We start from the raw sequence: 25,335 nt of genomic DNA on the forward strand, positions 1-25,335 counted from the left end.
TCTGCTTCTGAACAGGCTGGATTCAGAAAGGCCGAATGAATCTGTCCTTGAATTCATAGTGACACTGTCAGTTGGTGGTGGGCAGAGATGCAAGTTGAGCCCAAGCACCAGACTCTCAGGGGTGCATTTAAGCAGCAAGCATATAGGCTGAAAACAGCTTCCAGGTATTTTGTTCGATCGCTGTTAAAAATCTAGAAAGTGTACATAAAAATGGGCTCTTCTAAAAAAAAAATTAAAAGATCTGGCATCAGTGGGTCCACAGTCCCATGAGGCAATAGCCTGCCATAGTGGAGTGGCAGCTGCCCCCCTTCAGCAGGTACACAGGCCCTCCAGTCACAAGTCCTTATCGCATTGCCCAGCTTACTTCCCTCACTGACAGTTCCATTTACAGATGCCTGGCCCTGTAGACACTGTAGCTGGCCATCCTTTCTGTCTCTGGAAGTTCCAAAGTTGAAAGCTTTTAACTTGTGCTTGGCAAGTCTCTTTTCTCTCCTTCCCCAACCAACCTGAGTGTGAGATGTCCATCAGTGGACCCCATGAGTCTCAAGTTATGCTACTGAGGAAGGCCCAGCTACCCTTGATGTGACCAGAGGGCTCTTTTTGCTTTGGTGTAGGTGTTGAAGGCTGAAGTCTGGAGCCATTGGCCTGTGCCTTCAGGATCTTTGCTCCTTCTCTCTTTTTGGCTCCATGGTTTCTCAACTCTGAGACTTAATTGTTTGTGCTGAAGGGCACCTTGAAAATGCTGTGACTCCGGCCGGGCACGGTGGCTCACGCCTGTAATCCCAGCACTTTGGGAGGCTGAGGCGGGTGGATCACGAGGTCAGGAGATCGAGACCACGATGAAACCCCGTCTCTACTAAAAATACAAAAAATTAGCCAGGCGCAGTGGCGGGTGCCTGTAGTCCCAGCTACTCGGGAGGCTGAGGCAGGAGAATGGCATGAACCTGGGTGGCGGAGCTTACAGTGAGCCGAGATTGCGCCACTGCACTCCAGCCTGGGCGACAGAGCGAGACTCCGTCTCAAAAAAAAAGAAAATGCTGTGACTTAGCTCTCCTTTTGCAGTGAGGGAACTGTGGGCAAGGGCATCTAGCCTTTGGTCTTAAGAGCTGGGATTAGAACTCAGAACTTGGGGTTCTCGGGGGAGGGGTGGTCTTTCTAGAATGGCATTCTGCTGCGATGGTTGAATTCCAGAAAATCTTCCATGTGCCTGTTGCTTTAGGGTTCCTGGTGTACTTTCACTTACAGTATCTTAGTTCATCCTCTCATTTGGGAGTGCCTTTTCTGGATTCTGCCCCAGAAGGCTGTCTGCTGTTCAGGTGGTCTGAGGCGGAGTCTTGCTCTGTCGGCCAGGCTGGAGTGCAGTGGAGTGATCTTGGCTCACTGCAACCTCCCCATCCTGGGTTCAAGCGATTCTCCTGCTTCAGCCTCCCGAGTAGGTGGGATTACAGGCGTCCACCATCACGCCCGGCTAATTTTTATTTTTATTTATTTTTATTTTTATCTTTTTGAGACGGAGTCTCGCTCTGTCGGCCAGGCTGGAGTGCAGTGGCGCGATCTTGGCTCACTGCAACCTCCGCCTCCCGGGTTCAAGCGATTCTCCTGCCTCAGCCTCCCGAGTAGCTGGGACTACAGGCGTGTGCCACCACGCCTGGCTAATTTTTGTATTTTTAGTAGAGACAGGGTTTCACCATGTTGGCCAGGATGGTCTCGATCTCTTGACCTCGTGATCCGCCCGCCTCGGCCTCCCAAAGTGCTGGGCTTACAGGTGTGAGCCACCACGCCTGGCCCCTATATTTTTAGTAGAGACAGGGTTTCGCCATGTTGGCCAGGCTGGTCTCAAACTCCTGACCTCAAGTGATCTGTCTGCCTCAGCCTCCCAAAGTGTTGGGATTACAGGCGTGAGCCACTGTGCCCGGCCTGAGAATGCTTTTCTTTGTACCTAATTTGTATACTTTTCTTTAAATGCATTTGACATTGTGTGTTTAGCACCTTTATGGGATTTCTGGAATATCGCTGGGTACCTGGAGACTTGGCATCTTTTCAGAAAGTACATCAGTCTTGGAGTAGGTGGTGAGCAGACAGCTAATGGCATGTAAAGAATGTTGCAAGCTTGACTTGCAAAGCTATTTCAAAATTTAAATAAAGGTAGCTTGTGGCTGAGTTGAAGGGAAATGGTGGTATCTTCAAGACAATGCTTGGCTTGCTCTGCCTCTTGCTGACTTCCCTCTTCAGGCCTGATGCTGCCCAAGCTGTTTCCCTGTCTCTCATTCTCTCTCTTTTGGTTTTTCTTTTTCTTTGTTTTTAAAAGAGACCAAGTCTCACTATGTTGCCTAGACTGGACTTGAACTCTTGGGCTCAAGCGATCCTTCCGTCTCAGCCTTCCGAGTAGCTGGGACTATGCAGGCATGTGCCACTGCAGTCGGCTCTCACATTCTCTTTCTTCCCATCAGTTCTTCCCTTCCCTTCAGATTCATCCTTCTAAAGTAGTGTTTGGTCACATCAGTCTCTTGATCAAAATCTTTCGTGGCGTCCTGTTGCTTACTACTGAGCTGTGTGAAGAGGTGACCTAGCTGCCCCAGTCTCTCATTGTTGCCTCCGGGCGTGGGCCTGTGTGTTGCTGTCCTTGTTCCTGAGTGGGTCCTGGGCTTTCCTCTCTCAGTGCTTTTCTTTCTTTTTTAGGGGGATCGGGGAGACAGAATCTCACTCTGTCACCCACCCAGGCTGGAGTACAGTGACGTGATCTCCGTTCACTGCAAACTCTGCCTCACGGGCTTAAGCAGCCCTCCTGCCTTAGCCTCTTGAGTAGCTGGGACCACAGAAATGCGCCACCACGCCCTGCTAATTTTTGTATTTTTAGTAGAGACATGGTTTCACCATGTTGCCCAGGCTAGTCTTGAACTCCTGAGCTCAAGCAATCCACCTGCCTCAACTCCCAAAGTGCTGGGATTACTGGCGTGAGCCACCGCACCTGGCCTGTGCCTTTCCTTTTGGATTGCCTGCTGTAATACGTGTCTTCACCTCCACATTTTCAACTCCCGTCTTTGCTTTCCACTGTCTTTTTCCTGTCCTAGCTCCTCCCATCTGCAGCCAAACTTTCAGTCCTTCCCATGAAGCTTTTTCCTGGGTTCCACCAGTGTGTTCCTTTGAATCAGAGCACTCCATCTCCCTATTGTCTTGGATGTAAAACATGTAAATTATTTACCGAACCGGAATTCTCCTAGATCACACTACTTTGGGATAGCATAGTGAGAGGGATGTGAAAGGGGTGTTAATGTGGCCTGCAGAAAAAAAGGCTTGGCTTTTTTTCTCTTTTTTTAGGTGGGGTCTCACTCTGTCACCCAGGTTGGAGTGCAGTGGCACGATCTCATCTCACTGCAACCTCCGCCTCCTAGTCTCAAACGATCCTCCCACCTGAGCCTCCTGAGTAGCTGGCTGGGACCACAGGCACACACCACCACGCCTGGCTAATTTTTTGTATTTTTCGTAGAGAGGGGGTTTTGCTGTGTTACCCAGGCTGCTCTTGGACTCCTAAGCTCGGGTGATCTATGCACCTCGGCCTCCCAAAGTGCTGGGATTACAGGCGTGAGCCACTGTGCCCAGCCAAGACTTGTTTTTTTGAGGGAGAATTTTCTGTGATTGTCGCAACTATTTGCAAGCAGCTTTCAGACATGGTGTGTCCTGATTATTCCAAATAGTTGGGATAGTCCAGACTCTCAAAATAATTTCACCTTGCCTGTGCTTCCTGGAGGTCTGGAGAAAGGAGACAGTAGGAGGTGACACCCTCTGGCTCCTTCCAGTCTGGCGTGTGCCTGCCCTGGGAACATTGTTCAGAACATGCTGGAGAAGAGAATATCACAGCCTGACTGTAGACTTTTGGGGATGTGTTTTATTTAAATATGTAAAATATAATATTTTGGTGTCACTTAAAACACCGGGACTTTTGGAGGCGTAGTAGAAGTTCTATGTAGCTTCAGAATGACCCATCAGAAACAAATGTATATGAGTCTTTACTTACATTTGTGCCATATTGCTTCCCCCTATATTTTTTTCCCTTTGGAAGCTCTGGCATGGGCCTTGATCCTGTGTTTAAGCGCTGTGTGGGAAGCAGAATTTAAAAGGACTGTAGTAGTATTTCTAAAGAGACTTAACAGGCTACATGTGAGAGAATTTTAGATTTCAATTTAGCAAACGTTTGATTTTCTAGTCTTTATGGGGCTGACTGTAAGCATTTGGGAAATTATTGAATTATTGCTTAGTTCTGTATAAGTTGACATGCTGAGGTTTTTTTTTTTTTTTTTTTTTTTTAACTGTTTTTGTGGGACAGTGGTGATTACATGGGCATTGGGACTTTCAGGAATATTCCAGAATCTATGATATGTTGTATTTCACTTGTGCTAGAGGGTTTTCAGGCTGCCTTTTCATGGCATGTTCACTCCAGAAATGCTCTAATGCCCATCAATAAATGTCACCCTCATCCTAGGAATTAGATGAAGAGATTATAGTTTTGAAGTTTTGGTGTTATTAGGCTTAAATCTCTAGGACACATATAAACACACTTGTGGTATTAAATGTGCCGGGTGGGTGATTTCAAGTTCCAGTGGCAGTGGTAATTTTTGCATTTCCTGACTCTTGTGTTTAAATTTGCAGTCTCAACATTGCATCACTGTAAGTTTTCACATTTAATGAATATTTATGTTGAGCCAAGTTCTATACGAATGTGGTGGTTTCTGACTTGATTATAGCTTGCTGTGTACTGTGGCCAGGAGTGCCCTACAGACAACAGAGTTGGCACACGTCTCAGCATGCCAAGCCCCGGCGGATGTGGTTAGGGACCACGGTGACTGGGGCATTGGTTGCCATACCAACCTTGTTTTTGGAAGGGAAAGCTCTGAAACAGCAATGGGATGGGGGCAGAATAGTTTTGAATATTCCAAGTAAACTTATTCCCTATATGTTCCCTGCAAGAAGATGCTATAGAAAACTATAATTCTTACTATGTGCTCAGATAGCATGAGTTAATTTTCTTTCTTTTCTTCTTTCTTTCTTTCTTTTTTTTTTTTTTTTAAGACAGTCTCATTCTGTCACCCAGGCTAAAGTGCAGTGGTATGATCTTGGCTCACTTTAGCCTCGACCTCCTAGGCTCAAACGATCCTCCCACCTCAGCCTCCCAAGTAGCTGGGACCACAGGCGTGCACCACCATGCCCAGCTAATTTTGTTTATGTTTTCTAGAGATGAAGTCTCAGTGTGTTGCCCAGGCTAGTCTCGAACTCTTGGGCTCAAGCAATAGTTAGTTTACTTTTGCAAGGCTGTTTTAATTGTCCTTTTGCAAAGGTGTGGAAGTTATATGGTGGGCCTTTCATGTGTGAATTTCTTCCCTACTTGTTGGAGGGTAAACAGGGGATCTTCTATCTCTTCCTATTACAGACCTTCTTCTCTCAACTCCTGCCAACCTCCCTTGCCCTCTGGTAACTAACCTAGTGATGACTGATTGGGGGAGGGAGAAGGGAAAGAAAAACAGGAAGGATAAATGGGGGACTCCTCCTCCCCCAGCTCCTTATTTATATTCCTCACTTTCCCTTATACCAAGATGGGGTTTCCTTGCTCCTCCCTATTGTATATAAGCAAAGATCACAGTCGAAGGTGCCATCACCCATAAGTGGGATGTTAGGGTGCCCTGCTCACGAGCTTCGGCAGACAGAACTGGGATGAGAGGAAGGAAACATCCCTGGCATCTCACACTGGAATGCTGTTACCTCTTTGCAAATGGTGCCTTGCATGATTAATTCTATGGTACTTGGTATTGTGCAGTAAAATGTCTGGAAGGGAATTGATCAAGTCTGGTAAGCCAGATCAGAGCCCAGAATGGCAGAGTGGGATGTGACTTGCAGGTGGCATCTGCTGTTCTAGTGCCTCTTTACAGAAGATGATCCAAGTCTCTGGAAGCTGCCACCTGTCCAGGTTCAACAGCTCAGGCAGTCTGTTGTTGTGGAGGGCTTGTCCTCAAGCCTCATCACACAAAAAAAGTAAAAACCCCACCCCTTTGAAAAGAAACTTACTGTTTCAGAAGAGGGAGGCAGTCCAATGATTTAATCTTTGCTTGCTGACTTGGAGCCAACTCCCCATTAGATTGTAACCTCCTTCCGGGCAGGGTTGGTGTTTCAATCTATTTAACATTTTTCAGCTGGGTGCGGTGGCTTACACCTATAATACCAGCTTTAGGAGGCTGAGGTGGGATGATCGCTTGAGGCCAGGAGTTTAAGACCAGCTTGGGCGACATAGCGAGACTGTTCCTACAACAAATTTTTTTTAAAAAAATTAGCCAGGTATGGTGGTGCACATCTGTAGTCTTAGCCACTTGGGAGGCTGAGGTGATAGGATCACTTGAGCCCTGGAGGTTGAGGCTGCAGTGAGCTGTGGTAGTGCCACTGCATTCCAGCCTGGGTGACACAGCGAGACCTGTCTCTACAAAAATAAATAAATAAATAAATAATTTTTTTTTAAATGCAGAAAACATTTCCCAGTTCAACTCAAAGAGCCTCTTTGTTTGAATTTGGAAGAGCTGTCCCTTCCTGAAGATACCTGAATTCTATTTTCTGCTCATCGGTCATAATGTGAATCTAGGATGAGCACAGATGTGAACGGCACCTCCTAGAGTTGTGCGGTGCATAAGGCCAACGCCCAGAAGGCACTCTTCCATCTCCCTGTTGGCTGACGTGGCACCTGAGTTGTTCCCCCTTCTCTAATGCTTCTCCTTCAGCAATTGTGATTTGCTGCTTCTGATTTCTGTAGTCCTAGGAAACCAGGGAACCATGTTTGTTAGAATTATGTGTAAAGTTAGGGGACAGAGACATCAAGGGGGTGTGTAAGTAGTTTAGTATGTGGCTGCTTTGGCTGCTTTTCTGCTTTTTGCTGGCTCCTCTTTAGAGATCAGCTGACTGGCGCATGGAGTCCTCAAATTTTGGGGGCATGTAATAAATGATGGATGGACCTTTTTTTTTTTTTTTTTTTTTGAGACAGAGTCTTGCTCTCTCACTCAGACTAGAGTGTGTAGTGGCACGATCTCGGCTCACTGCAACCTCTGCCTCCTGGGTTCAAGCGATTCTCCTGCTTCAGTCTCCTGAGTAGCCACGATTACACGTGCGCAATACCACGCCTGGCTAATTTTTTGTATTTTTAGTAGAGATGGGGTTTTGCCATGTTGCCCAGGCTAGTGGCTAGGCGTTTTATGGTGCAGAAATGGCACCACTATTTTGTGAGTATTCCTAATCACCAACTTTTAAGTTAACTTTTTTTTTTTTTTTTTTTTTGGAGATGGAGTCTCCGTCTGTTACCCAGGCTGGAGTGCAGTGGCATGATCTTGGCTCACTGCAACCTCCGCCTCCAGGGCTCAAGCAATTCTCCTGCCTCAGCCTCCTGAGTAGCTGGGATTACAGGTGTGCACCACCATGCCCAGTGAATGTGTGTATTTTTAGTAGAGATGGGGTTTTACCATGTTGGCCAGGCTGGTCTTGAACTCCTGACCTCAGGTGATCCACCTGCCTTGGCCTCCCAAAGTGCTGGGATTACAGGTGTGAGCCACCGCGCTTGGCAAGTTAACTTTCATTCACCTGGTTTGGGTATAAGTTCTCTTTAGTTCTTCAAACTACAACTTTTAGCTGACTGTATTTAAGAGGAGTTGGGAGGACAGAGCAGTAGTTTTCCACTTTGCTACGCAGACACCCAGCATTTGCCAGGCCTTTTTTTTTTCTTTTTTTGAGATGGGATCTCACTCTGTTGCCCAGGCAGGAGTGCAGTGGTGTGATCTTGGTTCGCTACGAACTCCCTGTCCTGCGCTCAAATGATCCTCCCACCTTAGCCTCCTGAGTAGCTGGGACTACAGGCGCCCTGCTGATTTTTGTATTTTTCACCAGGTTCTTTAAGCATGTTGTAAACTTTGCAGAACAAATTGGTTCTGGGTTTCCTTTGATGGGAGAGGCTGCAGAGTGCTGAGTCTGGAGCCAGACAGCTTGGGTTTGAATCCTGGCTTTGGCAGTTACCTGCTGTGGAAAGATGGCTTTGCCTCTCTGGATCTCAGTTTCTGCATCTGTAAAATGGAGATAAACTTTTCCTAGCGTTGTTATGAGGATTACATGAGTTACTCACAGCATGCAATTTATATTTAGTGGGGATGAGGTTGAAGAAAATACATAATTTCATGCTGCTCCTCACATATACCTAACGTTTATGTTGCAGTTCCCAAGTGGTTGCAAATTCTTATTCTAAAATGGTAGCTTATCAAAGTTAAAGGAATCCAAAAATGCCATTTACTGAGAAGAGAAGTGGTCATAACATAGGAATTTTTTTTTTTAACATGCTTAGTGCCTTTCTACTTGCACCTATGTCCCTTCTCCCCTAGTGTGGGGGTCTGTGGGCTCCCCAGGGTAGTGCTTAAGCACTTTGCAAGAGGTGCAGGCTGCTCATTTCTCCGATTCCCAGTTCCCTCTGTTTCCTGGGAGGGACGCTTTGCTGCAGCTTCACCTGCTTATCCCTACTCTCTACAGCTAGATCATTGTCCAGGCCTTAAGCTCTGTCAGTCGGGCACGTGTGCACACACAGACACACACACGCACAGCTGGATGTGAACTCTTGACTCCAGTGTGTTTCTAGGCCAGCCTGCTTGTTGTTCCTGGTTGCTCCGAGGAAAGGAGGGTGCTGATTGCTCCTCTGGATCCAGCCGGACGCATGGAATGCTGCAACATACTAAGCCTGTGCTCTGGGGGCCTAATTACGTGGGACTTGGGGCAAGCACAAGTGACTTCAGCGCTTGGTTTGATCCAGCGTGTGATTTTTGCCAAAGCAAATACTTTATTAATCTTAACCCCCCAAATTAGACACATTGACTTTTTCTAAAAATGGGAATGATTGGAGAGCAGAATTTTTTTTTAAATCCCCTCCCCATCCTGAACCCCTCCTCCAGCAAGACTGGGCTCTGCATTCCTCTCCTTGAATGGAGAAGGTGAGTTCCATCACTGCCTACCTCCTCCTCTAACATTCCTGAAACTAGGTGCTAGGAAATTGCCCCTTTCTGAAGGTGTGTTTTTTGTGTGTTTTCCGCAAGAGGTTCCACTCCTTCCTACGTCAAGGCCAAAGAAAGGATTTGCCGTCCTGATGGAACTTTCCTAACTGGGAACTTGTCCTGGATTTCTTGGGATTCTGATCCAGAATGTGTATAGGGAAAACTGTTGGGTGACTTCCCATGGTGACCTTGAGTGTGTCTGAGAGGCTCAGCCAGAATTTCTTGTGTGGCCTGTGAGTGAGCTAGCAAGCCAGCGAGGTCAGTGGGCCTTCCCGCTCAACACCCTGTCTCTCTCCTCAAAGTGTCTTGGGTAAAGGGCATACTCACAGGGTGGAATTAATCTGGCGTTAGAGAGTGAGCTTGTTCTTATCTAGTCTAAACTGGAAAAAAAAAATGCATTTAAATAAGCAACCTAACCTCACCCCAGAAAACAACTCCTAGTTAACCTTGGCTCCTCTTCACTCGGCCTCTGTCTTTAAGTCTGAGTGACCTGGTGGGATTGATCAGCTTTGAAGTCCTAAGGTGCTATTTTAATACTGTTCTTTTACGTTGCAGGCTTCGAGACTGATTTAACTAGATTCTGGAGGGAGCTTACTTTACAGCATTCTTAAGAGCTCGAACAATCTTGAAAGAGTTAAACTCTAATTAGCTCATTCCTAAGGTATTTAATGCCCTTATTAAAACTCAACTGCTCGTTCACTTTTTTCTTTAGTGAATCAGATTTCTTGAGGAGCTGAGCCTTCGCTCCTCAGATCACAGGCTCACATGTTGAAGCTGGCAGTGCTAGAGGCTAGTTCCTATCTGTGTGACAGCATTTTTAATTTAACAGGACCGCCTTTGATGTTCCCAAATATTTATAGGCAGCTTTAGATCATTTCAGTGTGTGCTTTCTTTTTCTTCTCTCTCTCTCTCTCTCTTTTAACTGGAGCAAAAGTTCTTCCTCATGCAACAGCCTTCCTTTTATCCTGTTTAGTTTATTTTTGTTTCCTTTGCAGCTTTGGCGAAGGCTGTCTGGCTGCATTCACACACACACATGAGATTGACCCTTCTTTTTGCTTCTTTGGTAAAGGCTACCTCTCTGTATCCTCCTGCCTGCTTGAGATTGCTTAAGGCACTTCTGTTCATCCCTTGACTTTCTTCAGGCTGAGTTTTTTCCTAATCTGGCTCAGGAATCTGTTCTTTGGCTGACCTGAGAGCTTTCAGACTATCATGCAGACCTGGGCATTGTGTGAAAGTGTCTTTTTTTTTTTTTTTCTGAGACAGGGTCTCACTCTGTCACCCAGACTGGAAGTGCTGTGGAATGATCATAGCTCACTGTCACCTTGATCTCCTCAAGTGATCCTTCTGCCTCAACCTCCCGAGTAGCTGGTACTACAGGCACCTGATACCACTCCCAGCTAATTTTTTCACTTTTTTATAGAGATGAGGTCTTGCTTTGTTGCCCAGGTTGATCTCGAATTCCTGGGCTCGAGCAATCCTCCTGCCTCGGCCTCCCAAAGTGCTGAGATTATAGGTATGAGCCACCTCACCTGGCCTTGAATGTGTCTCTTTATGGATGACCAGGCTGTAATATCCTACTCTGCTTGCCTGCATTGACACTGATGGGGCCTCAGCAAGTTATGATTTACAGTGTATGTTTTGCAGATACTGTTTTAGCTGGGGCAGGAAATTCAGATAGACAGAATTCTGTCCTGATCATTTCAGGCTTGCTCTGTTTGGCTCTGTTAGACTTCTTGGCTGAAAATAACAGAGAATCAAAGATTTTGGTCTCAGGGATGGGAAAAACAGGGCTGCAACATAGATTTGTTAAGCCATTAAGAAAAAGAAAAAGGAAACTTTGTACCAATCAAAACAAATGATAGAACAGAGGATAGTGCTTCCTCCAGCTTGGCCTCTGGGTAAACATTCTGCTTGTGAAACAATCCAAATTACTGAATTCTCAGCTGCTGTTACTTACCTGGGCCTGGCAGACAGAAGACCAGAAGATATCATGGCTTCTTCCATCATTGCTGGCTGTGCCTCCTATTAGGTGGAAGCCTTTTAGTGCTGAAGGTCTCATAGGTGGTTGATGAAATGTGTGAATGAATGAATACACTATTCTTGGGACCTTATACTGTTTTTCTCACTAGATCCTTAAGAGGATTCTGAGCGATAAGATATTTCATATCTGTTTTTTTAGATGAGGACACTAAAGTGCAGAGAGGTTTATACAGCTGGTGAGTGAATGGAGAAGCTGGCCTGGAGCTCAGGACTGTGTCTTATAGCCTCACCATGAGGTAATTGGAGGCAGGTAAATCCAATGGCAGTCTGCTAACCTCTTAGAGCTAAAAAAGCCTGTTGAGGCTAAGCATGGTGGCTCACGCCTATAATCCCAGCACTTTAGGAGGCTGAGGCAAGTGAATTGCTTGAGCCTAGGAGTTTGAGACCAGCCTGGGCAACGTGGTGAAACCTCATCTTTACAAAAAGAATTTAAAAATTAACTGAGTGTAGTGGTGCACGTCTGTAGTCCCAACTACTCAGGAGATTGAGGCAGGTGGATTGCTTGAGCCTGGGAGGCAGAGGCTGCAGTGAGCTGAGATGGCACCATTGCACTCCAGCCTAGGTGACAGTGATCTGTCTCCAAAACAAAACAGAAACCTCTCAAGGCTAAAATCTACTGTATGTTGCATTGTGAGAGTTCAGAGCTGACCAGATTCTTGCCATGTAAGGGGCATAGTGGTGGAGAGTACATCCCTGAGACCAGATAGGCCTGTGTTTTGCATCTCAGCCCTGCTACTGACAGCTCTGTGACCTTGGCCAGGTCATCCAACCTCTCTGAACCTCTGCTTCTTCATCTATAACATGGGACAGATAGCTTGTACGACCAAAAGACTATGAAAATTAGATGATATATGTAAGGTGTACATTAAGTGCTTAACACATGTTCGGTTGGTGTCTGTTGCTACAAAATTGTGACTCTCAAAGGGTTCATAGTCCTGCAAGAAAGCATCAGGTAAACCACCTATTAGAAGACGACTTGGCAGCTACAATAGAGAGACGTGCTGGTGCTGAGTAGGAACCCAGGGCAGAAACCACTGGCTTGGATTTTTATTTTCTTTCATTCAGCAGATATGTATTGAGTGCTTACCCTGCGCTGGCAGAGCCACTGGATCACACTGATTGCTGCCAGCTCCCCCTCACCTCCCAATTTTCTCTTTCCCTTCTTGGGAGAATTTGAGCTAAAATGTTAATTGCCACCTGAAGAAAGATTTTCACGGAGTCATTTTCTTTTCTTTCTTTCTTTCTTTTTTTTTTTTTTTGAGATGGACTCTCGCTCTGTCGCCCAGGCTGGAGTGCAGGGGCACCATCTCAGCTCACTGCAACCTCCGCCTCCCGGGTTCAAGCAATTCTCCTGCCTCAGCCTCCCGAGTAGCTGGGACTACAGGCACACGCCGCCACGCCCGTCCAGTTTTTTTTTTTTTTTTGTATTTTAGTAAAGACAGGGTTTCACCATGTTGCCCAGGCTGGTCTCGAACTCCTGAGCTCAGGCAATCTGCCCACCTTGGCCTCCCAAAGTGCTAGGATTACAGGCATGAGCCACCGTGCCTGGCCACATGGAGTCATTTTCACATAAAATGCCAAGGTGCCAAATGGCACAGCCACACTGCATTTGACCATGTATCTTACATGGCCTTGTGCTGTCCTTCAACTCTCATTTTAATCTTATCTAATTTTCTCCAATTTCTCTGGTCTCTTCTACATGAAAACTTTATGGTCCTTGAGAATGTACAAGCGACTCACCAAGGGAGCAGGTGGTGGCCGCATGGTTCCCCACAGTGCCCAGATGGTGTCCGTGCCTTTCATGGTCTGGTTCCATGGGGATTTGTTGATAAGATTTTGCTTTCATTTGGTTTTCCAACCCAGCAGCATATTTAGATTTGATTACTGGTACTAGCTTTTTTCTCTGCAGAGTTTCATTGTCTGAGTCACTGGCTGTCTTGAAACATAAGTCCCATTCTCCACACCCCTGTACCCCTTTGCAATCAGTGGGGATGGTTATGTGGTAGAACTTTTTCCCTGCCCACAGCGCATGGTGCAGAGTGGTGTCAGCACACTTTCACTTGCTGAGTTGATTGGTAACATATTGAATCTAGAACAAAAGATACAATTGAAAAGCATTTGTGGTTGTCTTTGTATAGTTACAAGCCTCTAAAATAGATTTGAGGTCATTTCTATGTCTTTCCTTTTGAATTAGCAAGCAAGCTTTCAGAGGGAAGTGGGCGTTTTCTAAATGCACTATTGATTTGAAGCTAACATGATGCTCTACTTTTGGATCATGAAAATAATGTTAATTTTTTATTTGGCTGTTTGGAGGGACCACTGGAGTAGGTCATTTATATTCAACTCTTATTCATGCTTTCTTTAAATAGCATGTTTAATTTCACATTAAAACTAGCTTCTGTTCAGCTAAAACAAAAACTGAAAAGATGGTTTGGAAGAAAGCAAAATGACAGAGAAAATGCAGCATGCAATGGAAATTGGCTGCAAGTCATCTCCATAAGGTGATTGAGAATGAAGTGAAGCTCAGCTTTCTTTCCAAAGAACCCTCAACAACCCTCTATGTTAACTTACCTTCTCCTGGGAGTCTTGGTGGCCTCCTTTTGTCCTTGGTGTATGTTGCATGCCAATCATGCTGTAGAGAAGGCAGTAATATCTAGAAACACATCTTGAACTAGCGTTGGGCCGTGTGCAAGTCTCTTTTGGTGGGGATATGCGAGAGTCACTAACTAGCAACCTTTAGGGAAAAAGAAGTCCAAGAGGGTTGAATTAGTAACCACTGGGGCCTGTACGTGGTGATGTTTGCTTTTTTAAATGATCCTTGTGGAGCATCATTTGCCCTGTGTCCTATGGGGCATGTCACCCCATTCCCTGGATGTCAAAACTAAGAACAGAAGCAAAATCCATTCTGCATTGGCTCTCCTTCTTTAGACTTAGCCGGATTGCTGGATGCGCGGTCAGTTGGATGCAAATTTGCTTTTGCTAAAGAAAAAGAAGGCCTGCATTAATAATACAATGATAAGACCTGTGCTTTCAGTTTGTGTTTTTTAAAGCGGTGATTAGATTTGTCTGGGTGGAGAGCAAAGATGAAGCTATTGGTCTAGTAGAGACCATTGGTCCCCAGATGAGGGCCTGGTGTCTCCGTTGGGTGTTTTGTTTGTTTGTTTGTTTGTTTTTGAGATGGGGTCTTGCTCTGTTGCCAGGCTGGCGTGTAGTGGCACGATCTCGACTCACTGCAACCTCTGCCTCCTGAGTTAAGCAATTCTTCTGCCTCAGCCTCCTGAGTAGCTGGGATTACACGTGCACGCTGCCACACCCAGCTAATTTTTTTTGTGTGTGTGTATTTTAGTAGAGACAGGGTTTCAGCATGTTGCCCAGGCTGGTCTCGAACTCCTGAGTCTGCCTGCCTCAGCCTCCCAAAGTGCTAGGATTACAGGCGTGAGCCACCGCGCCCAGCCTCTGTTGGGTTTTTTAGGCACACTTGTCTGAAGAAAGTCTTTTGATTTTGAGCCACTTTTTAGAGCTTTGAAGCTCTTCCTGATTTTAACTATTGCTACCTATGGAAGAGTTGCTCTTTGGGAATGGACAGCAACTTGGGGCTAACAGCTTTTAAGCATGGACCTCTCCTGGGGGCGTGTTGGGCCTGTTTACTAACCTTACTGTGGACTCCGCCTTCAGATCAGGATGATTTTCATGGTATTTTTTTTTTTCTCAGAAAATAATCAAACCAAAACTTTCCCTTGCTGATACAGAGTGACTATGCAAATCAGGTCTGCATGCTTATCTTCCTAGAAATGTAGTTCAGTGAAAAGAAAACAGCGCCTTCCTTTAGCCCACATACTTTCCTCATTCATAAAATGAATCAGATGAAACTTGATTTCACCCAGGCTGGAGTGCGGGGGCGTGATCTCAGCTCACTGAAGCCTCCACCACCCAGGCTCAAGGGATCCTCCTGCCTCAGCCTCCTGAGTAGCTGGGACTATAGGCGCATGCCACCATGCCTGGCTAATTTTTTTTTTTTTTTTTTTTTTGGTGGTAGGGAAAGGGTTCTACCATGTTGCTCAGGCTAGTTGCAAACTCCTGGGCTCAAGGGATCCATTCACCTCGGCCTTCCAAAGTGCTGGAATTACAGGTGTGAGCCACCATGGCTGGTCACGCCCAGCTAATTTAATTTTTTTTTTCTAGAGACAGGGGTCTTACTATGTTTCCCAGGCTGGTCTTGAACTTCTGGCCTCAAATGATCTTCCTGCCACTGCACCTGGCCTGATTTGTATTTGGGAGCCTCACTTTCTCCATTAACTTTTTTTTTTTTTGGAGACAGAGTTTTGCTCTTGTTGCCCAGGCTGAGATGCAGTGGTGCAATCTCAGCTCACTGCAACCTCTGCCTCCTGGGTTCAAGCGATTCTCCTGCCTCAGCCTCCTGAGTAGTTGTGATTACAGGTGCCCACCACCACAACCGGCTAATTTTTTGTGTGTGTTTTTAGTAGAGACGGGGTTTCACCATGTTGACCAGATTGGTCTCGAACTCCTGACCTCAAGTGATCTGCCCACCTGGGCCTCTCAAAGTGCTGGGATTACAGGCATGAGCCACCATGCCCAGCCTCTCCATCAGACTTTGGATCTGGAAGATAGTAAGAAAAAAAGCAAAGTAACTTAGTTCTGTCCTTTCCTAGAGGACGTAAGCAGTCTTGGCCTCTTCATGATGGTCCACTTTGTTACCGAATTATTGGGTACAAAAGTGAGGTCTGCAACAGGCTTTGGATGTTTCAAGGTGTGTCTGGCTGTGGTTTGCTTTCTGAGTGCCAGCTTTAATGTCCTCTTATTTTCTGGCAAGGGTTGATGGATGTGGCACTGAATATTTTCTGAATAGTGTTCACAGAATCACCGAGTGAATGCTGGCCTCCTCCTGCATGTCTGTTGAGGGAGGGCTTATGGACCAGTGGGAAAGTCAGATGTGTCCCTGAGATGGTGACAGTATAACATGCATAGGCTGAGTGCCAAATGCTTGGGGCCCAGAGAAAGTGCCTAGAAATCAGAGAAAGGTCTTGGGGGTGGACCTCCAGCTGGACTCTTAAGGAAGATTGGTGCTTGGATTTGCTCCTGCTGGCTCTTGCTATGGGGAAGGCATTTCTTGCTGAGACCCAGGCTAGGCTGGCAACTAGTGGAGCTTTTTCTAGCTTGTGTAGACCTGGAGGCTGCCTGGCATAGAATGTGCCCATGGCAGGGCGGGGAGAAAGAAGAGGCCAAGTGAGGTGCGGCTGGGAGACAACAGATCTGCTATGCTCTCTGGTCTGTCATTTAAGTGGGATCTATTGGATTCAGCCTTTCTGAGCCTCAGTCTCCACATCTGCAAACTGGGTGTGGGGCTAGATGAGATTCCTGGGGGGAATTGGGGGATCTGCAGCTGTGCCTCTGAAGGATGTCTGGGGACAGAAGTGTAAGTGGGGAAGAAGCACACTAACTGGGGAATTGGGGAGGGAAAGAACTTTGGAGGGCAAGTTAGGGGAGGGATAAGAGGGGCTTTGAATGCCAGAAAAGGGTATGTGACTTTTATCATGGAGACCAGTGGGTCCCATAGTCAGAATATAGGTGATGTCTATGTGCATGACCGTGTTTTTGGTGACACAACTCCCGCCTGCCCTGTGTCCTCCAGCAGCATGGTATGTAATTGCAGCCCTCACTGCACAGCAGTCGGCAGGCTTATTCAGGGGCAGTTTTCCAGCAGTCACTCCTCTCTTGAGAACAGTCTGGAATGTAAGGGAGTAAGTGATGTTCTAGTGACAACCTTGAATTCACTTTATTAAAGATAAATAAATCACATGCCAACTCTGGCCTTTAGCTGTTATTAGTAACAAATAGCTTTCTACCCGTACACTTGACCATTCATGACACCTTGGAAGAAAATTGCTGCCATGGCATTTGACCTTGGTTAGCACTTTGTTTTTTCTGAGAGTTTTTTTTTATATATCATGAGTATGTAGAAACTTCTGGGGAGCAATTCCTCAGTTGCCTTTCGAGTCCTGCCCCTAACCCCTCAGTTTGGGCTCCATCTGTTGACTGCCCTGGGTTTCAGAAGGGAGATAGTGAGTGTGCTCTCTTGAACATGGTCCTTTAGGATTAGGCAATAGAGTGGTAGGCTGGTTTAGACATTTCTGGTTATTGACAGGCCTTACTGCGGCTTCCCCCAAATGAATGAGGAATATATTTTTCTAAATCCAGCCAGTGAGCCAAATGAGCCACACTGGGATAAACTTTGTTTGTTTACAAATTATGTAAGAGAAGGGCCCGGCCATTAAATTCTTCTGAGCCAGAATTCCTAGCCCTCTTCAAAGTTGTAATCAAACTAAACAAACACTTTCCACAGGAACTAACTCCCTCCCGAGAAACAGGAGCAGATGCTCCTGGGAGGCCTTCAGCAACTTTGGAATGTTTAAAGTAGAAATATGTAACCAAGGTGAAGTTGTTCCAGAAACATTGCCTGCTCTGGCCAGAACCAAAGCACGTGTCAGCTTTTTTATTTAGGGCAAGAGGTGCAGAATGGACTGGGCCAGTCCAGGCAGAATTTTCTTTAGAATGTTTAATTTTTGGTTTTCATCTTAACCCGGCTTCTCATAGTATCAGCTCCTTGTGACCTTTATTCCCTTCTGCTTAAGTAACTCTTTTTTTAAGCTTGATCTTATCTCTTATCTTTTAGCTATGCTGGATTACATCCGGGGATCAAGGAGCCCGCCTCTTAAAGCACTCAATTATTGTCCCTAGGAAAGATGTCAGCTGTAGCACAAACACTCCAGGGGAGGGAGGCTGAGGCTCGCCTTAACTTCATTATTGTCTGGATAAGATAGGGAGAATTGCCACTCTCCAGTTCTTTTGGAGATCCACAAAGACCGTCCATCTAGGCTCAGGGACACGGTTTTCTTTTCTTTCTTTTTTTTTTTTTTTTTTTGAGACGGAGTTTTGCTCTTGTTGCCCAGGCTGGAGTGCAATGGTTCAATCTCAGCTCACTGCAACCTCCGCCTCCCGGGTTCAAGTGATTCTCCTGCCTCAGCCTCCCAAGTAGCTGGAATTACAGGCGCCCACCACCACACCCAGCTAATTTTTTGTATTTTTAGTAGAGATGGGGTGTCACCATGTTGGCCAGGCTGGTCTTGAACTCCTGACCTCAGGTGATCCACCCATCTCGGCCTCCCAAAGTGCTGAGATTACAGGCGTAAGCCACCGCACCCGGCAGGGACACAGTTTTCGAATCCTTGCCGATTTGAGTCTTTACTGAGCGGCTTGATTTATCTTGGCTTGGGAAGTTGTGGATTTTTAGAACATTGGGTACACTTGTATTAAAATAGATGTATACTTTCTTAAGCCAATTGCACATTTTTCTGGAGTATGCCCAAGATGAGCTTTTCTCAAGGCATCGCCTGAAGAACAGCAGTCCTGCACAATGTTCTGTGGTGAAAGGGTTCTATGAGGATCTATGCTATGCATTAATGGTGGGGCTCAGTATTTGAGAAATACTGTTGATCCTAGTTTTCTCTTAGAGATATATTCTGCACAGTAGTGAATTAATGGCTCTGAGAAATTCTGTTGAAGAGCGGTCTTTCACTTTATTTAATCTGGTACTTCCCAAATGTACTTGATCACAGAACTTTTTCTCAAAGGACTCAAGGTGCTAGGGGATATGGAGTGGCGGGTAGCCAGTATTAGGTTAGTTTAGGGTCTGCACTGGTTCAGTTGGTGTCCTGTTAGATTATGAGGATGGAAGGCCAACACCAAGTTAACTACCAGCTTTCCACAGGGCCCTGGGATAGAGTCATCACCACCTAGAATGAATGGCCTGAACACCTTTGAACTGTGGTAGGACTATTTCTTCCATTTCAGCTTAGATTTGTGGTCTTCTCTATAATTGGGTGATGGGGTATAGGGAGTTGTAGTATAAAAGAACCAAGAAACAGTGCTTCTCTTTGAAGAATTTAATTTCTACTGGAATGGGAAGATTCATGAAGGAGTTAAACAGTACCACCGTCCAAGTAGGTATGAAATAATGTCAAGTAGCCTGTCTTGTAGGCATTTTGTAGCCTGTCTTGTAGGCAGGTGGGGGCCACAGGAAGCAGGGGCAGCCTTTATTGTGACTTGACTTACCAAACTTTGGGTACTGTGATGGCGGGCAGATAAGATAGAGGAGTCCCCCCGACCCCTGCAGCCCTAAATGCCTCTTCGTTTGCCCCGCCTCTGTGTGTAATGTACTATGTGTGAAAGTCTCTTAGACTCCCCGCAAGGTAGACATTTTAGAGTTGGATGAAATGCATGATAAGAACTCCTTCTGGTACTTTCCAGATGTATTTGATCCCAGAACTCCTTTTTCTCAAAGGACCCAAAGTACTGGGGAACATTTGGTTCCTTCTGGAAGGAGAACTCCCTCTGGCTGATCTGCAGGCCCCCACTGCTGGGTTGGCATCCTGGATTTCGAGGTGGCCACCTTCTGTGACTCTTAGGCCTTGAGCTTGGCTATCTGGTTTTGGAGACCTGGTGCCTTGGAAGTGCTGGGCTGAGTTGAATGGAAGTGCATTTTCCGGGTTAGTCTACCTTGGTTAATGCAGGGAAGAGTAAATAGGCTCTGCTGACTCTAGCTGCCCATAGGAAGGATGTGTGTGACATAAGCGGGGCTGAGATATCCCCCATTGAGATGCTAAGAGGAAACTGAGATGAGGAGTTTAAATTCTTCTCCAAATATGTGTCATATTTCATAGACTGTTGACATAGAGCTTTTTTTTTTTTTTTTTTTTAAACTTTAAAAGTTGGAGGCCGGGCACGGTGGCTCACGCCTATAATTCCAGCACTTTGGGAGGCCGAGGTGGGAGGATCACCTGAAGTCAGGAGTTTGAGACCAGCCTGACCAACATGGTGAAACCCCGTCTCTACTAAAAATACAAAATTAGCCAGGCATGGTGGTGCATGCCTATATTGTCAGCTACTCGGGAGGCTGAGGCAGGAGAATTGCTTAAACCTGGGAGGCGGAGGTTGCAGTGAGCCGAGATGGCGCCATTGCACTCCGGCCTGGGCAGCAAGAATGAAACTCCGTCTCAAAAAAAAAAAAAAAAAAATTAGGTTAACCTACCTGATGGATATTGTTGGCAGCTGAGCTCTGTCTAGCCTGGGACATTCAGCCTTTTGCCTCTAGCTTTCGATGAGGCCCCAGGCTCTGCTGTGTATTAATGGTAGGGCTTAGCCTTAGTTCAGGACCCATCCCCTGTCATACCCCCAAACCCCAGAGGGGAGGCGTTCTCTTTTTGCAGATGCAGATTATCAGAAATCGTTCTTCCTTACACTGAACCAAATTTCTTCTGCTCCTTGGTTCTGGTTCTGTCTTCTAGAGTATATTAAGTATCCTTTGGTTGCTATAACAAAGTACCACTGGCTAGGTGGCTTAAATGACAGACATATTTACTCATGATTCTGAAGGCTAGAAGTCCAGAATCAAGGTGATCAGGGTTGATTTATTCTGAGGCCTGTCTCCTTGGCTTATAAAGTGATGGTTTTCCTATGTTTTCACGTGGCCTTCCATCTGTAACTGTCTGTGTCCAAATTTTCTCTTCTTATAAGGACACCACTCATATTGTATTAGGGCCCACCTATATGACCTGCTTTAACTTGGTCACCTCTTTATAGACCCTCTCTCTAGGTAGTCACATTTTGAGGTACTGGGGGTTAGGACCTTAACATATCAATTTTTGAGAGACAGAACTCTGCCCATAACACAGAGCCATTAAGACATGATGACCCTCCAGATTTCTGAAGGTGATTTTCTTGTCACTTGTCTTTTCCTTGCTGAGAACCCCCAGTTCTTTCCGTTCTTTATATGAGATGGTTTTGAAGTCCCTCACCATCTTGGAATCTTCTGGACTTGCCTTAGTTTTGGAAGGACAAAGTGGAATACTTTGGACTACCCGTGATATTATAGATAGAATTCATTCTAATGTCTGCCCAAGCAAACAATTTTGATGATTTCCGAAAAAGATTAAAAGGCTAAAAATCAGACTGTACAGTTTCAGTAACAGCTTTAAGATATTTGTCTTTAATTTTGCCTGAGTAGGTCTGACCACTGACACACACACGGGCACCGCCCCCATATCCCACCCCATGCATCCAGTGCTAACTTTATGTCTTCTTTTGACTTAAGCATTTACGTTAGAGTTAGTAAGTGCTCAAGGTCTAAGTTTGTTCACCACCCTTCCTCCCTTCCTTCATACTTTTTTAGTTTTAGGAAACCTAGTTGGGAGGGTTATTTCAAAAGAATAAATGAATGTAGAGATTTTTATTTTTTAAATTTAAATTACATTTAATTTTTTTGAGATGGGGTCTTGCTCTGTTGCCCAGGCCAGAGTACAATGGTGCCATCACAGCTCACTGCAGCCTCCCCCTCCTGGGCTCAAGCAATTCTTCCACCTTAGCCTCCCGAGTAGCTGGGACTACAGGCAGGTGCCACTGTGCCCGGCTAATTTTGTTTATTTTTTTGTAGAGGCGAGGTCTCACTAGGTTGCCCAGGTTGGTCTTGAACTCTTAGACTCAAGGGATCAGACTCAGCCTCCCAAAGTGCTGGGATTATAGGCATGAGCCACCATGCCTGGCTGAGATTTTTATTTTTTAAATGTAATTGCTGTCTGGAGAGGGTAGAAATAACTCAGTTACTGGAGTATAACTCATTTTAGGTTCATAATGTCATGCCAACCTGTAGTGTAGTTAGATTTAAAATTATTAGTTATTCTCTTCACTTTTGGAAATTGTTTACTTTTTATTGCCCTTGTGCACCAAAAATTGTGTCAAAAAAGCTCATATGTTTTGTTCTTTGCATTTTCAGCACTTAGCAGAGTGAAGGTTAAAAAAAAATTGTTGAGTGACTAAAGGCATCCTCTTAATCATCTTGTGCTTATTTAATCAGGAGCATCCTGTTGTGTCTTTGGTAGAATTGGCAGCTTGGGGTTTAGGGATTATTCTGGCCGCTGTCCCTTTTGCTTTTGAATTGTGGAGCTCCCCACAAAGAGACCCTCAGTGCTGTTCACTCTTCTGCTAAATTGTGGTTTGTAAGTCCTGACTGATAGTTTTGACAGGCTTTTTCTCCTTACCGTAGTCTCTTTAGATGGAGTGTGACGCTCTTGGAGTTCCTTTCTTTGAAGATGCTTTGACTATACCGCCCAGGATTTCCAAATTGTAGCCTTTAGATGCCTGGAACCCTGGCCCCACACAGCTGTTAGGCCCCCTCTATTCTGGAGGCCCGACAACATTAAAAATACCAACTATTTATAGCATACTTTTCAGTGTCAGTAAATTATAGGATGCCCTTGCCAGTGGATGGGGTGAACGCTCATCTGCCTGCCACTGTGTGATTGCCTAGAAGCGTCGGCCAGGTGGCAGGAGCTCAGCCCCACCTGAATGCTCCCAGGTCCTCACCTGGCACTCCCACAGGAAACTAAGGACTGCCAGGATGTCTTGGGGTTCCAGTAGAGTCCATGTCCTTTGCGATGGAGTGGTTGGGGATAAAACACACACACACACACACACACACACACACACACACGACACTAGGTATGTGTGCTCTTGAGAGAAGCCCATTCTGATCTAACTGCCAACTCCTCAGGAGGCTGTGTTGTCAGCCATCTGTGCACAGAAGTTTGCTGCATCACTGGTGAGCTGGGGAGTGTCCTGTGTGGTGTCCACTTAATCTTACTAGGAAGGATCCCCTCATTTCAACAAGGTAACTGAAGAATGTTAAATCTAAATTTGGGTAAGATATACTCTCTGTAGGCTGAAGAATTTGAAGAGTATATAAAAGCTCTTATAGCTGGGTGCCTATAGTCCCAGCTACTTGTAAGGCTGATGCGGGAGGATCCTTTGAGCCCAGGAGTTTGAATCCAGCCTGGGCAATAGTGAGACTCCCTCTCTTTAAAAAGAAAAAAAGCTTTTAAAAAGGCCAAAAGGACATAGGGTCTTTATCTTCCCTCAGCTGCCCCTTGGAAAGGATCTCCTGGCTTGCCATTCAGAGTACACAGTGAGGGGAGGCCCCCTCCACAGGGTACCATTTAGAACAGGCTCAGTCGTTAGAACACTGCAGAGGGCGTGCTGTCCCCTGGCCACCAAGCCAAGTTGGGCTTTTGGGGACAGGTTTTGTGGTGGTAGCTTTTGGGTTCTTCATTTCTTTGCCTGGACTGAACAGTGAGCAGTGCTCAAGAGGCCTGTTCTGTTAGCTGGAGTTTCCATTGAAGTGCTAACTGCTGGATCCTTTGAACCTCTAGCCTGGGAGGGTATTTATAACTAGCTGTTTGCGTGCTTAGAGGAACTGAAGTCCTGCCTTTCTGTAGTGGTTTAAGAGCTGTGCCCTTGGTGTGGGCTGAAAGGCAGGCCTGGCGAAGTGTGGGGACTCAAATGCCCAACTCCCCACGACCTTGTTTGCCTTCCCCCTGCCCTGCCAGCCCAGCGGCCCTTTTAGGGTTAACTTCTCTGCTTTGGAAGCAGCTGGCCAGTTTACACTCCTCCCTGGGCTGTACAAAAATACTTCCTTTGAAGTGTTAGGAGAAGCGGTGAAGGGTAAAACCTGGTGAAGAATAAAACCTGGAGTGGGGCTTGAATGCATTTCTCTTCCAGGGAGTTTGCTGGGTGACTGAGCCCCACAGCCTTCCTCGTAACCTATAGAGCTGAGTGGTTCTCCTCACATAGTTACAGCTTGGAGCCTAGTTGCAGCTGGCATGTGCATGTGTGGGTGCGTGCGTGTGTGTGTATGCACACGTGTGTGTATGTGTATCTGCATGTGTGCGTGTGTGTGTGTGTGTGTGTGTGTGTGTGTGTGTGTGTGTGTGTAAAGTCTCCTCAAAAGGAGTATTTCTTTTCAAGAGAGATAGTTAGAATACAGCCACCAAGCTTGCCTGGTGGCTGGAATCCCTTTGAAGGCACTTTTCCCTAGGGCGGGTCTGAGTCAGGGTGGTATCCTGGGGTATGTGCGAAGCTACAATGTTTCCACTTCGTCCTAAAGTGGCCAGCCCTGTTCTTGCTCCCTACTGGGGTAGGAAAGCTGCCACTGATCCCATCTCTGATTCAGGTCAAAGCACAGCAGCCTAAAAGAACGCTGGGCATGAAGTCAGTGGTGCTGACTTCTCTTAACCTTGGGTTTCCCATCAATAAAGTTGGGCTGGTGGAAATACCGGATTGGGGGCACCTTGAGAAAGTGCAAGACACTTCTCTACTGTAAAGCCTGCAGTTGAGCAGAAATGGCATTTAGGATAAAGAGGCCAAAGAGAAGAATGCCAGAGCAGAAATGAGACGGAACAAAGCTTGAATGTCTTCTTAATCCTTGAGTATTTGCAGCCAAGGAGGGGTTGGGGCAAGATGGGAGGAGAGGCAGCTGTTATTTTCTAGAGAAGAATGCCAACCTGTTTCTCCCCACAGAGGGGACCACACAAGTTATTTCTGAACTGGAGTTTGCAGTCCCTTCTTTCCTGGAAAATGCCTTCATATGGATTTCTTACATCTTATTACACTACTTCCTATCTCCCTTAGACAAGGAGTGTCCCTTAGACAGATCTAAAATAATACCATAGAGCTAACATTTATTGTTGGCTTTTGCCAGGTATTGGGTTAAGCACCCAACATTAATGATCTCATTTATTCCTCATAACATCCCTATGCTGGTTGCTGCTGTTGTCCTCATTGAATAGATGAGGAAAGGGAGGCTGGAAAAAGTGAGATGACTTATCCAAGGTCCTCTTACCTACTGATGCAGGTATGGAAATACAGACCCGGTTAGACTTTTAGCCTCTTTACTTTTTTTTTTTTTTTTGAGACGGAGTCTTACTCTGTCACCCAGGCTGGAGTGCAGTGGTGCGATCTTGGCTCACTGCACCTCAGCCTCCCGAGTAGCTGGGATTACAGGCGCGTGCCACCATGCCTGGCTAATTTTTGTATTTTTAGTAGAGGTGGGGTTTCACCATGTTGGCCAAGCTGGTCTCGAACTCCTAACCTCAGGTGATTCGCTTGCCTCAGCCTCCCAAAGTGCTGGGCTTACAGGCATGAGCCACCACACCTGGCCCCCTTTACTCTTAAGAGATGTAAGTTACAATAAGCGATGAGGGGGTGAAATTTAATTCTGTGCCCCAAACCTGATCAGAAGCTGTTTTTAAGGAAAGAGGTGGAACATTGAACTCTGTTCATTCTGGCTGTTTTGACTCATGTTATATTCATCAGTGGACTTTTATTTTATTTT

The 25,335-nt window shown here is 46.0% G+C and overlaps 1 protein-coding gene across 2 annotated transcripts in view, besides 2 other annotated features; it reads left to right on the forward strand.

Moving 5' to 3' along the window:
* ZNRF3 (zinc and ring finger 3) overlaps nt 1-25,335 on the forward strand; it is a 173,917-nt gene that overhangs the window by 11,074 nt on the left and 137,508 nt on the right. Inside the window, exon 1 of one of the 2 annotated variants that reach the window (NM_032173.4) lies at nt 22,744-22,836. The exons of the other annotated variant lie outside the window; for it this stretch is intronic. The gene's annotated coding sequence lies outside the window, so the exon portion shown is untranslated. Of the gene's footprint in view, nt 1-22,743; nt 22,837-25,335 lie in introns of those variants that run through there. 2 annotated transcript variants of the gene reach the window in all.
* Nucleotides 8,041-8,854: an enhancer, noted in NCBI's record as "H3K27ac-H3K4me1 hESC enhancer chr22:29298674-29299487 (GRCh37/hg19 assembly coordinates)". NCBI's record gives its function as "activates a minimal SCP1, AML or CMV promoter by ChIP-STARR-seq in primed H9 embryonic stem cells {active_cell/tissue: H9 hESC(primed)}" and the evidence as "EXISTENCE:reporter gene assay evidence [ECO:0000049][PMID:30033119]".
* Nucleotides 9,218-10,417: an enhancer, noted in NCBI's record as "CDK7 strongly-dependent group 2 enhancer chr22:29299851-29301050 (GRCh37/hg19 assembly coordinates)". NCBI's record gives its function as "activates an origin of replication core promoter dependent on BRD2, BRD4, P300/CBP, MED14 and CDK7 cofactors, with strong dependence on CDK7, by STARR-seq in HCT116 cells {active_cell/tissue: HCT116}" and the evidence as "EXISTENCE:reporter gene assay evidence [ECO:0000049][PMID:35650434]".

Source organism: Homo sapiens, chromosome 22 (genome assembly GCF_000001405.40).
Source record: "Homo sapiens chromosome 22, GRCh38.p14 Primary Assembly".
NCBI lineage: Eukaryota > Metazoa > Chordata > Mammalia > Primates > Hominidae > Homo > Homo sapiens.